Below are 13,982 nucleotides of genomic sequence, written 5' to 3' on the forward strand. Positions count from 1 at the left end.
TGTGAGCCATCCAGATTCACCTACTGATGCCCTCAACCTTCTAATGTCCCGTCCTGTTCTGTGTATTGCTTCCGTCCATCATATGACTTTTTTCAGTAGATGACGAAAGAATTTTAAGATAGCCACAGACCATAGACTCACAGAATCTGACTTGGTTGCTAGAAGTTTTTGTGGTTGCATGGAATGGTAGCAAGGAGAGTCAGAAGAGAGGGAGGGGATGAGGAAGAGGCAGAGGTCACGCTGAGGTTTTCAGTTGCGGCACAACTGGCGAGAAATACAAAGATTCAGAAGGAAGGTTGTTTAAGTTTGATGTAATACTGTGGTTCTTATGGGAAGAAATTAAACAGGTAATTGGAGAGGCTGAACTGAAAAAAGAAAGGAGGTGAGTTCTGGCTGGGCGCGGTGGCTCACGCCTGTAATCCCAGCACTTTGGAAGGCCAAGGTGGGCGGATCACGAGGTCAGGAGATGGAGACCATCCTGGCTAACATGGTGAAACCCCGTCTCTACTTAAAAAAAATACAAAAAATTAGCCGGGCGTGGTGGCGGGAGGCTGAGGCATGAGAATGGCGTGAACCGGGAGGCGGAGCTTGCAGTGAGCCGAGATCGAGCCACTGCACTCCAGCCTGGGCGACAGAGAGAAACTCCGTCTCAAGAGAAAAAAAAAAAAATGGAGGTGAGTTCTACAGTTTGGATGACTTAGGAGCTGAATTTATGAACAAGGGAAAAAGAAGAGGCAGAGGGCCAAGGTGTCCTTGGCCCTAACAAGAATTAGGGATATAAAAAAGAACATGAGGCCAGGAACGGTGGCTCATGCCTGTAATCCCAGCACTTTGGGAGGCCGACTTAGGTGGATCACCTGAGGTCAGGAGTTCAAGACCAGCCTGACCAACAAGGTGAAACCCCATCTCTACTAAAAGTACAAAAATTAGCTGGGCGTGGTGGCACGTGCCTGTAGTCCCAGCTACTCGGGAGGCTGAGACAGGAGAATTGCTTGAACCCAGGAGTTGGAGGTTGCAGTGAGCCGAGATCGCACCACTGCACTCCAGCCTGGGCGATGGAGCGAAACTTGTCTCAAAAAAAGAAAAAAGAAAATGAAGCCAGGAAGTGAGAATGATCCTAGTTTGAAAGGTAAGAAGAAAAGCTGGATGATGCAGGTCACGGAAGCCCTGTCATCACTTCCTATGACTGGGTTGTCTCCCTGAGCTCTCTCATTTTCTTTTTTCTTTTTTCTTTTTTTCTGAAATGGAGTTTCACTCTTGTTGCCCAGGCTGGAGTGCAGCGGCACGATCTTGGCTTACCGCAACCTCCGCCTCCCAGGTTCAAGCAATTCTCCTGCCTTAGCCTCCCAAATAGCTGAGATTACAGGCATGTGCCACCAAGCCTGGCTAATTTTTGTATTTTTAGTAGGGATGAGGTTTCATCATATTGGTCAGGCTGGTCTCAAACTCCTGACCTCAGGTGACCCACCCGCCTCGGCCTCCCACAGTGCTGGGATTACATACAGGTGTGAGCCACCACACCCAGCGGCTCTCCCATTTTCTAGATGTGTCACCTCACTCCCATTTTCCTCCCCAATCTACTCCCCATCCTCGTGTGTTTCCTCAGCAAGTGTCCCCATCTCTGCACAGCACAGTCATATCCTCAGTCCAGCTTTCAAATTCTCCCACCTCATCTCTCAGGAGGGTCTGATATAACGACTCTTTTACTCAGATAATCTGTTCAGGCACCTGTGCCTATGAGAGGCTTACTGTGATCTCTGAATCTATGTTTGTGGTAATCCTACGTGGACTGCTCACCTCTAGATGTCTTATGAAATCACCTCCCCTTATTTCTACAACAGGCTCAAATTGCCTTCGGGAATCATTAAAGCTCAGTGTTCTGGCTTTGATTGGTCCTTCGCTCCCTAGTCCGCCTGCACTCATGTAGGGTCATGCTATTACAAAACTCCACAGGGTACCATTTATGTTGTATTCCATGTGGAAGGTGTCCTCTGGAGTTTGGCAATATAGCAGCTGTCTGTAAAAATGATATTGAAAGCATCCTGAGTTCTGGAGCTGCGCCGATTCTATTAGGCTGAGAACCCCAGTTTCAAGTTCATCTCTTCATTTTTCTCTCATTCCATTTCACAGCGGCTTAACAGCAGGTCCTTTGTATTCGTTTCTGGCCCATAGAGGGATCTTTATTCAAAATCACAGGGTTGTCTCTAAATTTCTGCTAAGCTAATGAATGGTGTTAGTATGTTCTCTTCTCCAGGGCAGAGGCAGAGTTTTTTTTTTTTTTAATTAGCCAAAAGCAACATTACACAATAAATCACATATCATTGTAGAAGAGAAGAGTTAACTATTATAACTAAAAGATAAAATGCCATGGCATTCAGGCAACGGTGGATTAGAAGTACTTCGAACCTATCAGTTCTGTAAAGCCTAGCTTAAGTCTGTTGGTCTAACTTTCTAACTAGACTTACCTTCCTTTAGAAAATATTTGATGTGCAGAGAGCTAGACTGAGGATCTAGCAGTCACAGATCACCTTAATTCAATCAGGAACTAAGATTATTTGATGCTGGGTTTTAACCCCTTTAAGGCCTGAATTTCCACCCCACCTTTACTGCTAGGGTGCAGCTCTTTGAGGTCCCAACCCAAAGTGGGTGAGAAAGAGACAGAGAGAGAGATACAGGGATGGTCGAGAATCCTTCAAAGACAACATCAGCCACAGATTAAAGAGAAATCTTCAATGTGGAGAAAAATCTCATTACTTTCACATGGGCATCAATAATACAGGTAGCATTTTCTCAAATGAAACATTAGCTGCCAGAGACAATGAATAATCTTGGAAGTGTTGAAAGAAAATACCTGCCAGACTAGAATAAAGACTTTCTACAAATCAGTAAGAAGAAATAGGCAGTTCAATAAAAAATGGACAAAAGGCCTGGCACAGTGGCTCATGCCTGTAATCCCAGCACTTTGGGAGGCCGAGGCAGGCAGATCATGAGGTCAGGAGATCGAGATCATCCTGGCCAACATGGTAAAACCCCGTCCCTACCAAAAAAAAAATAATAATAATTAGCTGGGCATGGTGATGTGTGCCTATAATCCCAGCTGCTCGGGAGGCTGAGGCAGGAAAATCGCTTGAACCCAGGAAGCAGAGGTTGCAGTGAGCCGAGATCGCGCCACTGCACTCCGGCCTGGTGACAGAGCGAGACTCCATCTCAAAAAAGAAAAAAATATACTCAAGACTTAAACATACATTTCTCATGGGGACATCCAAATGTCAGTAAATATACGGAAAGGATTATATTTGATGATTCTATTTGTCAGTTTAATATCACATCAACTTTTATGGTATCTGGAGGAATTGATCCCATTCTGGGTAAGTCTGATGCCCGTATGGCTCAATTCGTTGCTTGTATCTCTGGCTTTGGTTACTGCTCCAGAGAATTGCCTGATTCCATACTGCATGAAGTTTTAAGATATTTGAATACTAGAGAAATTTCCAAACCTAGCAAAAGGGTCCTGTATTATACAAATCTTACAGAAATCTCCAAGGCCTCTCATCACATCTCCAGGAGATCTACATCTGTGTCTCTTATATGTGGCCAAAGAGGCTATCCTTGACTAACTCTGGGTCACTGGGATGCCTATTTTCCCCATACCACCTTATTATTTGGATACTTTACCAGAACGGGTAGGAAGTCTGCTGGTCAGATATAGATCATAGTTATCACAGTCAACAGCAGTCTATGTGGATTCTTGGTGGCATTTGACACAGCCACTTTCACTTTGCTTAAATACTTTTATCTCTTACTTTCTATGACATCATAGTCTCCTGGTTGTCCACTTTCCTTAATGGTTCTCTGCCATGCAGGTACCCATTCCAGGGAGTCCCTGGTTCCCAAAGTCATCCTGATTTTCACTCACAAGCTACCCTTAATATTTAAACAAATAGGCTGGAAACTCTGTCTCTAGGCTTTTGGGAAGGGCCCATAGGAGAATGACTGGGTTTCTCATTAATTGATTAGAAGGTACATTGTTAAGGTAACAGCTGCTGTAACAAATCAGCCCAAATAAATAATGGTTCAAAGACAATAGTTGTTCTTTTGTTTCACTCCTGATAAATTTAAAACAATGGTTCCTAATTGGTGCGTAGTCCTCCTTCACTAAGTTAGGGACTCAGGCTCCCTTCATCTTGTGGCTCTGCATATTTAACATGTGGTCACCATACTTAAGAACATTTAGGTAGCAAAATAAGAGAGAACATAAAAGATGACATGTGTGATATTTTTATGGGACACACACATAGCAATCAGAATCCCTGGCAGGAAACAGTTGGCATAATCAAAGTCAGTGTTTGTTTGTAAATCTCTTTTATTTTCTCTACCATAAAAATTGCTATTGTTATTTTATATTGATATGGATTATTGTTATATTTTTATTGTGAATTATTCCCTCTAGCCTTCAAAAGGCTGGGCGTGGTGGCTCATGCCTGTGATCCCAGCACTATGGGAGGCCGAGGCGGGCAGATCACGAGGTTAAGAGATCGAGACCATCCTGGCCAACACGGTGAAACCCCGTCTCTACTAAAAATACAAAAATTAGCTTGGCATGGTGGCACGTGCCTGTAGTCCCAGTTACTCGGGAGGCTGAGGCAGGAGAATTGCTTCAAACCCGAGAGGCGGAGGTTGCAGTGAGCTGAGATCACGCCACTATACTCCAGCCTGGGCGACAGAGCGAGATTCCATCTCAAAAAAAAAAAAAAAAAAAAACACGTAGCCTTGCTTTCTGCTCTGAATTCTATAATGTCTAATTTTTTTTTTTTTTTGAGATGGAGTCTTGCTCTGTCACCAGGCTGGAGTGCAATGGCATGATCTCGGCTCACTGCAACCTCCGCCTCCCGGGTTCAAGCAAGCAATTCTCCTGCCTCAGCCTCCCAAGTAGCTGGGACTACAGGCGCACACGACCACACCCAGCTAATTTTTGTATTTTTAGTAGAGACGGGTTTTCACCATGTTGACCAGGATGGTCTCGATCTCTTGACCTCGTGATCTGCCTGCTTTGGCCTCCCAAAGTGCTGGGATTACAGGTGTCAGCCACGGTGCCTGGCCTATAATATCTAATTTTAAGATTATGAGTGATACTTTTTTTGTCTGTTATACATTTGCCCATCCTTTTATTTTCAACTTCCAGAATTAGTTTATTTTAAATGTACCTTTTGTGTATAGTAGACAGTTGGGTTTTTCTTTGTAATCTAATATGAAAATATTTTTCTTGTAATACATGCTATGTTCATTTACATCATTTACATCTATTGATATGCTCTATTTTTAAGTTTTTCATGTGATTTTTTATATATATAAATTATAATGTTTTACTCTGTGGCTTCTTATTGCAGTTAGACTATTCAAGAAGGTTTATAATTTTGATCTAGCAATAATCTTTATAGTTTCTATTTGATATAAAGACCTTAATCTCCTCATTTAAAATATTTCTTAGTATGAGCAATGATGAAATTGGCTTGTAGATATTTCCTCCCTCTCATCACCAAATTTTTATTGATATCTTTTAAAAATTTATTCTTAAATGTGTGTGTACTTCTACTACCTGAATTGTCATTATTAAACAGGCAATAGTTGTGTACTAGAGTTCTCTAGAGAGACAGACCCAATAGGATAGAGAGACACACATATAGATTACACACACAGATATATATATAAATATAGATTTATAGATACATATACACACACATACACATATATGAGGGGGGTTATTATGGGAATTGGCTCATGTGATTATGGAAGCTGAGAAGTCCCACAACAGGCCATTGGTGAACTGGAGACTCCGGGATGCTGGTAGTATGGCTTAATCCAAGTCTAAAGGCCTCAGGTCTAGGGAAGCTGATTGTGTAATTCTTGGTGTGAGGCCAAGGTCCTAAGAACCTGTGAAGCTGCTGATGTAAGTCCTGGAATCCAGGCTGGCAAACCTGGAGTTCTGTTGTCTAAGGGAGGAGATGAGTGTATCCCAGCTCTAGAAGACATGTTTGCCCTTTTCTTGATTTATCATAAGTATTTTAAACTCATATGGAAGTGTTTGGATACATGTTTTATTTGCTCCTTAGCAACATATTTCTGGTGAGTTGGTTTTTTTTGTTTGTTTGTTTTTGAGACAGAGTCTCACCTTGTCGCCAGGCTGGAGTGCAGTGGCGTGATCTCGACTCACTACAACCTCCACCTCCTGGGTTCAAGCGATTCTCCTGCCCCAGCCCCCAGAGTAGCTGGGATTACAGGCACCCGCCACCACACCTGGCTAATTTTTTGTATTTTAGTAGAGAGGGGGTTTCACTATGTTGCCCAGGCTGGTCTCGAACTCCTGAGCTCAGGCAGTCCACCCGCCTGGGCCTCCCAAAGTGCTAGGATTACAGGCGTGAGCCACCGCCCCTGGCCTCAAGATTGTTCATCACATGTGCAAAGTCTCTTTACCATGTAAGAAAACATTCACAAATGCTGGGGATTAGGACATGGACATTTTCTACCTACCATGATATCCATCAACTCTGAAAGTGTCCCTGTGCCCTTTTATGACCCCTTCCTATGGTTCCTTCCTCCCTGCATTCTGCACCTATGACCCCAGGCAACCACTGATCTACTTTTTGTCACTATAAATTAGTTTGCATTTCCTCAAATTTTATATAAGTTGAATTATAAAATATGCAGGGTTTTTTATTTGGCTTTTTTCACTCGGCAAAATTATTTTGAGATTTATCTTTGTTGTGACCTGTGTCCACAGTTCACTATTCTTTTCTGTTGAGTAGTGTTCCACTATATGTATATACTGCAACTTAAGAAAAATCTGCCACTTGCTGATGGACATTTGAGTTGTTTCCGGTTTTTGACTCTTGTGATAGTCAAAATATTGACATATATATAAATTATAATACAGCTGCTATGGACATTTGTGAACAAGTCTTTGTATGGGCATATGATTTTATTTCTGTTGGGTAAATATCTATAAGGGAAATAATTTGCTTGGGGATGACTGGTTCACATGGTATATGTGTGCCTAACTTTTGTAGAAACTGCCAAACTGTTTCCCAAAGTGTCTATATCTGTTTACGTTCCTACTAGAGTTCCAGTTACTCATAGGGTGGTGGCCACTGGATTAGTTTTCATCTGCACTTACCAGCAGCAACAGCAGTGGCACCATGGTAAGGTGAATGCTCCTTGGCTGCGGCAGGATGCTAGTGGGTGCTGGGGTACCAGCCTCCATGCAGGCATTCATAGCAGCAAAAGAGGTAGCATGGCTTGGGCGGCACAAGGGTCTTCTGCCAGTGACCATGCATGTGTTTGTGGCGGTGGTGTTAGCATGGAGACAGGGTGGTGTTGGGAGCAGGACTGTGTGTGCAGTTGTGTGTGTGCTCACATCGGTGGTGGTGGCTGCTCAGGGAAGGGGTGGGATTCGCTGTTCTCCATGCCTAGCTTTGTGCCAGTTGCAGTTTTGGCACAGGGCCAGGGCACTGTTGGTAGCAGAGCTGGTGTGTTCCATGCCCACCAACACTGACAGGTATGGTGAGGGGCAGGAGAACGGAGTGTATTCATGCCAGCAGCAGTGGCATGGCAGGGTGTGCACACATGTGCACTGGTGGGGAAGGAAAGGCAAAGTTTGCCTGTAAACACATGCAGTGGCAAAGCAATGTGGGTGGCCACAGGTGAGTGTGTACAGAGAAAGCTGCATGGGGGAGGCTATAGTTAAGGGAGGGCAAGGGTAGCCTGGTGCATATCTGTGAAGGCTGCTCTGCTGGATCCATATATTGGTCAGGCATGGTCCACCAGCACAGGAGCTATGATGTGGGCCCCCAAGGAGGTATCTGGGAGCTGCACTGCAGGCAGGTGCAGCCAGGCTGGGGCTCTGTGAGACGCCAGCAGACCAAGGGATGCTGAGGTCAAACTGGTCCTGTCTCATGGGCAACACCACCCTTCAGAGTTCAGGTCTGACTGTGCCCCTAGGGCTAAAGTGTCCTATGGGAGCAAGTCAAGCCTAGGGACATGGGTTTCCCTGGCTGTACTCCAGTACAGACATTGTTGCACCGAACTCTCTGGGCTCTGCACCAGCAGGATTTCTGCCCCTACCCCTTCTCTAGACATCTCTTCCTGCCAACTCAAGTATATCTGGTGGTTGAGAGCTCTCCTCTTGTTGGGATTCTGGAGGCCCATGGTGAGGGTGGGCTGCTCCTTGCCTGTTAGACTCACCCCTTCCACAGGAATCAGTGGGGGCCAGAATGAGTCCTGGTGTGCAGTATCCCTGTTCAGGGTTCCCAGCTTCCTCCCCTTCAGCCCAGCCTCTGTGCCTTCCCTCTGTCCACTCTCAATGCCTTCCCTCTGAAGATCTGCTAGGAGTGCACCAGTCTTCCTGATGTCTTGGTCCCTCACTGGGAGATGTTTCTACTGGCTGCATCTAGTAGGCCATCTTGGAGCAGCAATTTGCATGTTAAGGCTCAGACTGTTTGTTTGAATGCACACAGAAAAGAAAAAAAGAATGAAAAGAAATTAAAAACACCTACTAGATCTAGGGAAAAGCCTCCAAAGAGCAAATGTAGGAGTCATTGGAATTTGAGAGGGAGTTGAGAAATAGCAAGGTGTAGAAAGTTATTCCAAGAAATAATAGCAGAAAACTTTCTAAACCTAGAGAAAGAAATAAATATACAGGTACAGGAAGTTCAAATATCACCAAATAGATTCAGATCCAAATAAGACCACCCCAAAGCATATAATAATCGCACTCTCAAGGGTCAAGAACAAAGAAATGGCCAGGCGCGGTGGCTCACACCTGTAATCCCAGCACTTTGGGAGGCCAAGGTGGGTGGATCATGAGGTCAGGAGTTCAGGACCAACCTGACCAACATGGTGAAACCCCATCTTTAACTAAAAATACAAAAAAAAAGTTAGCTGGGCATGATGGCACATACCTGTAATCTCAGCTACTCAGGAGGCTGAGGCAGAAGAACTGCTTCAACCCAGGAGGTGGAGGTTGCAGTGAGCCGAGATCGAGACTCCATCTCAAAAAAAAAAAAAAAAAAAAAAGAACAAAGAAAGGATCCTAAAAGCAACAAGAGAAAAGAAGACAATAACATGATAACATGTAAAGGAGCTCTGATTTGTCTGGCAACAGACTTTTCATCAGAAGCCATACAGGCCAAGGCAGAATGGGAAACATATTCAAAATGCAAAGAAAAAAACTTTTTTTTTTTTTTTTTTTTTTGAGACAGAGTCTCACTTTGTCACCCAGACTGGAGTGCAGTGGCACAATCATGGCTCACTGCAGCCTCTATTTTCCTGAAGCCCAAGTGCTCCTCCCACTTCAGCCTCCCGAGTAGTTGGGACTACGGGTATGAGCTACCAAGCCTGGTTAATTTTCAATTTTTATAGAGACAAGGTCTCCCAATGTTGCCCAAGCTGGTCTTGAACTCCTGAACTTAAGTTTTCCTCCTGCCTTGGCTTTCCAAAGTGCTGGGATTACAAGTATGAGCCACCACAACTGGCAGGAAAAAAACTTTCAGTCATGAATACTATATCCAAGAAACTATCCATGAAACATGAAAGAGATAAAGACTTTCCCAGACAAATGAAACTGACAAGGTTGATCATCAGCGGATCTATCCTATAAGAAACGCTAGAGGGAGCTCTTCATTCTGAAAGAAAAGGATCCTAACATGTAACAAGAAAACATCTAAATGTATAAAACTCACTGGTAAAAGCAAGTACATAGACAAATAGACAAATACTCTAATACTGCAATAGTGATGTGTAAGCTACTCCTGTCTCTAGTTTGAAAATTAAGAGATAGGCATTATAAAAAATGTGAGTTGAGACAATGAAAAGTCAAAATGTAGGGAGATGGAGTTAAAGTGTAAAGTTTTCTTCAGTTTTTCTCCTTTTCTTTGTGACTAAAGTTAATTTTCATCTTAAATGACAACTGGTTAAGTTTAAAATAATGTGTTATAAGATGTTTTCTGTAAGCCTTACAATAGCCACAAAGCAAACACCTATAATAGCTACACTAAAAATAAAAAGCAAGGAAATTAAAACATACTACCAGAGAAAATCACTTAAGCACAAAGGTAGACAGTAAAAAAGAAAGTAAGGGAGAGAGGAGTTGCAAAATGACCAGAAAACAACTATGTAATATCAATAGTAAGTTCTTACCTATCAATAATAACATTAAATTGACTAAATTTCCAAATTAAAGACAGAGTGGCTGAATGGATTAAAAAAAAAACAAGATCCAACTATATTTTGCCTACAAGAAACTCACTTCATAAAGATGCACATAGGCTGAAACTAAAGGAATAGAAAAAGATATTCTATGCAAGTGGAAACCAAAAAGGAGTAAGAGAAGTTACACTTAGATAAAATAAACTTCAAGTCAAAAACTGTAAAAAGACACAAAGAAGGTGGATTAGGCCATTTTTGCATTGCTATAGAGAAATACTTGAGGCTGGATAATTTATGAAGAAAAGAGAGTTAACTGGTACACAGTTCTGCAGGCTTCACATCAAACCCCACAGACTGGTACATCCCAAGCAGAAAAAATGAACATAAATCTATAACTAGACACATCAGAGTGAAACTTCAGAACACCGCAGATCAAAAGATAATCTGGAATACAGGCAAAAAGGAAGGAAAGATCACCTACAAAGGAACCAGAATTAGCACAACAACAAAACTCCCAACAACAACGGAAGCCAGAAAATAACAGAATCAGGTCTTCGGTGTATTGAAAAAAATTATTGGTCAACCAAGAAATGTGAACTCAGCAGAACTCTAAAAAAAATGGTTTCAATCATTTTTTAATGAGAAAATTTACTTCTAAAGAAAGACCTGCCTCACAAAAACTTTTGGTAATGTGCTCAGAAAGAAAAGGAAAAATAATACTATAAAAGTTATCTGAGATGCCAAGAACGTGGTAATATGTAAAGAAACCAAAAGCAACAGTGTCAGGTTGAAACAAGCATGCTTTATAATTTGTAGTATTTTTTTAAAGGCAGATATGCTGGTTCCTCTCTGCCACTGAATGTAACAATGAAGACCTGGGCAGAATGCGTGAAGCAGCAGTATCACGGGGGTTGGAGTGAAAGCAGAAGGAAAACTAGTAATCAGCTTACTAGATTTTCCCTGCAGAACTCCTAGACTGACTTCAAGGCAGCCTAAAACCTAGAGGTGCAAGTCAGCATGGACAGATCAAGCTTTAGGGAAAGCCCTCAGTTCTGGGATAAGGGAGTGATAAAGGGGTCTCCTGGAAATGACAACAGCAGCGGGGGCCGATAAGCACGTGCAGTCTGAAGAAGGGGAATCTTCCTCTCCAATCAGAAGAAGTGTGGTCCCAAGAGCGCGGGGAACACCTCCGTGGATTTTTTTTCCTCTCTCTTTCCTCTTATCACTTGACCCCGAATGAGGGCACAGATGCAAGAAGTGTACAGCAAGGTAGGCTAAATTAGGCCCTAAATTTCTGGCTGAAGGACCAAAAAGGAAAATGCCAGGAAACTGAAAAGCACAGAGGAGATCACAGGGAGAGAGGAGCTCAGGAAGGAAACCCCAAAATATTGTTTATAAGCTCAGGGGCTCATTCCTAAACTGCACAAACAGAGATTAGATCACGGACCAAACTACTAAAGACTGAGAGCTGAATTCAGAGATAGGGTCCCATCCAGGTTCCTAACTGGGTGGCACATGCATGGGCTAGATCCAAATAGCATTGCAAAGGCCTGGAAAACAGAACTAGAATTGAAACCACCGCGGAAGACTCATTCGAACTCGTGGGCTGAACTCAACCAGGTCAATGCTTCAGAAAAATACCAGCATTCTCCACAGGACATAAACAAGATTGTCTCATAACATACCATTCAAAATATTAGGATACAATCCAAAATTGCTCATCATAAGAAGACAGGAAAATCTCAGTTCACATGGGAAGAGACATAGATGACTATGAAGAGAAGTTATAAAATACTCCAAGTCGGGGCAAACACTGTTGAAAAGGTAGAAGACCTCAGGAACTAAATAGAAAAATATAAAGGAGAACCAAATGAACATTTCAGAACTGAAAAATGCAATAAGGTTTTTTAACTGTTTCTGTCAAGATGGCGGATGAGAGGCATTGCTGGCACGCCTCTCCCACGTGGAAGGACAAAATAGTGTAGAGACATTCACTTTGTGAACTTTTTTCAAGAGGCGATGCAGTCATTGAACAGGAAAACCCAGGGACGCTTTGAAGGACGCAGGAGGCTGCAGTCTACACTGTGAGTCAGGTGAAGGACTGTGAGTCCCAGAGTGTGAGAGGGGAAGAGTTTTTGCCTCTGGGATACACACCCCCACCAGGGACCCTGAAAGTACAGGACACGGAGGAAGGCCCTAACCCCACCCAGCAAAGGGACCAACTCGGGGAGGGTGGCGGAATATAAAAATAGGAGCAGTGGCAGAAGACACTTGCGTGCACTCCCAAATCCCAACACAGGAGGGCAGCCGTTCCTTACTGTTCCTCACAGGGGACCCCCGTGGAGGACAGGCAAAAAGTTTAGACGGCGGTCGCAGGTTGAACGAAGCTCCCGAGGGGTTTCATGATATATATACATAACCTTGGGTGGGGACCAACTCCCTTGGCCAGGGCCAGGCGTGGGAGAGTGAAAAGTGGGCTGCGAGTGCAGGGGGCCGTGAGTGCGGAAGCCGCGGGTGCAGGAACCTCGGGTGCCGGCTTTGCAGGACAGGGAAGGGTGTGGCGTGAAAACCACAATTGCGATCTCCCGTGGGGAAAGCTTATAACTGTGGCAAGTTCCGATTACAGACTGGCTGGAATTCAGCTCGCCGCTGCCAGTGGAAGCTGTGGTAGTAGATCTGCCTCACTGAGTGCATGGGAATTGGGGGCTCACCGCTGCCTGCTACTCCCCACTCTGCACAAACTCTTCTGCGCAGCGGGGGCAGAAGAACATCAACCCAGTGGCCTGAGACCCACTCCATCCCCCAACATTCACAGGAGCTGCTGCTTGCCCTGCACACGGAGAATCAGAGCACAAACCTGACCGACGCAGCCCCCATCTCGCTTTGCCCCGCCACTTGCCCTGGTAGCTTAACACAAAGGACAGAATCTCTTGAGAGCTCTGTGGCCCTGACTATTGCCTGTGAAACCAGAGTATTCCTCCCTCCACGCCCCCACCACCACGCCCCTCCCCCCCCCCCCCCCCCACACACCCACCTACCGCAGCCGGTGTTCATTTGCAAGCACCACCTCCTGGCTGGAGGCCAACCAGCACAGTCCATTACAGCATCTCCTGGTAGAATAACATTGCACCCAGGAAGAAGGAGGCTCTATGATCTCAGCTATTACCACTGCCTGCATCACTCCGGCTAACCAGGAGGTCCTGAGTCCACATGACCAGCTCATTACTACTATAACTAGCATTCAAGAAAGCCAACATACTATGGCTACCAATAACCAAGGAATTTCAGAGTCTACGTCACTCCCCTGCTACCCCCAGTAGAGCTGGTGTTGCTACCCACTTCTGGGAAACTGGCATTCACAACTGGCATTTCCCAACACCAGCCTGGAGGGTGGCAACGTCACTGGGCAGCTAGACCCAGAGGAGCAACAACATTCACAGTAGCGTGGCTCACAGGGACTCCCACTCATAGGGAAAGGGGGAGTGCGCCCCATCAAGGGAAGACCCTGTGGGACCAAAGAATCGGGATGGCAGGCCTTGAGCATCAGATCCTTCCGCTGGTGGAAAGCTTCCTTGAGCAGAGGCGCAGCTGAAGTGCTAGGCTCAGCGGGGAAAGCCTTCAGCTCTATCGCAACAGTCAGACAGCTTTGGTGCATGGGAAGGATCTTGGAGAAGAGGCAGTCTTTCCCCCCTTGTTCACCACCATATGCACAGTTGGGACTTCTCCCACAGGAGCTCGACATGGATGCAACTATAGACGGCCATTCTGGAACACATCAAGGC

At 44.6% G+C, this 13,982-nt stretch overlaps 1 annotated feature.

The window, feature by feature from the left end:
* Positions 12,770 to 13,339: an enhancer, noted in NCBI's record as "H3K4me1 hESC enhancer chr17:6817614-6818183 (GRCh37/hg19 assembly coordinates)". NCBI's record gives its function as "activates a minimal SCP1, AML or CMV promoter by ChIP-STARR-seq in primed H9 embryonic stem cells {active_cell/tissue: H9 hESC(primed)}" and the evidence as "EXISTENCE:reporter gene assay evidence [ECO:0000049][PMID:30033119]".

This window comes from Homo sapiens, chromosome 17, assembly GCF_000001405.40.
Source record: "Homo sapiens chromosome 17, GRCh38.p14 Primary Assembly".
Classification (NCBI taxonomy): domain Eukaryota; kingdom Metazoa; phylum Chordata; class Mammalia; order Primates; family Hominidae; genus Homo; species Homo sapiens.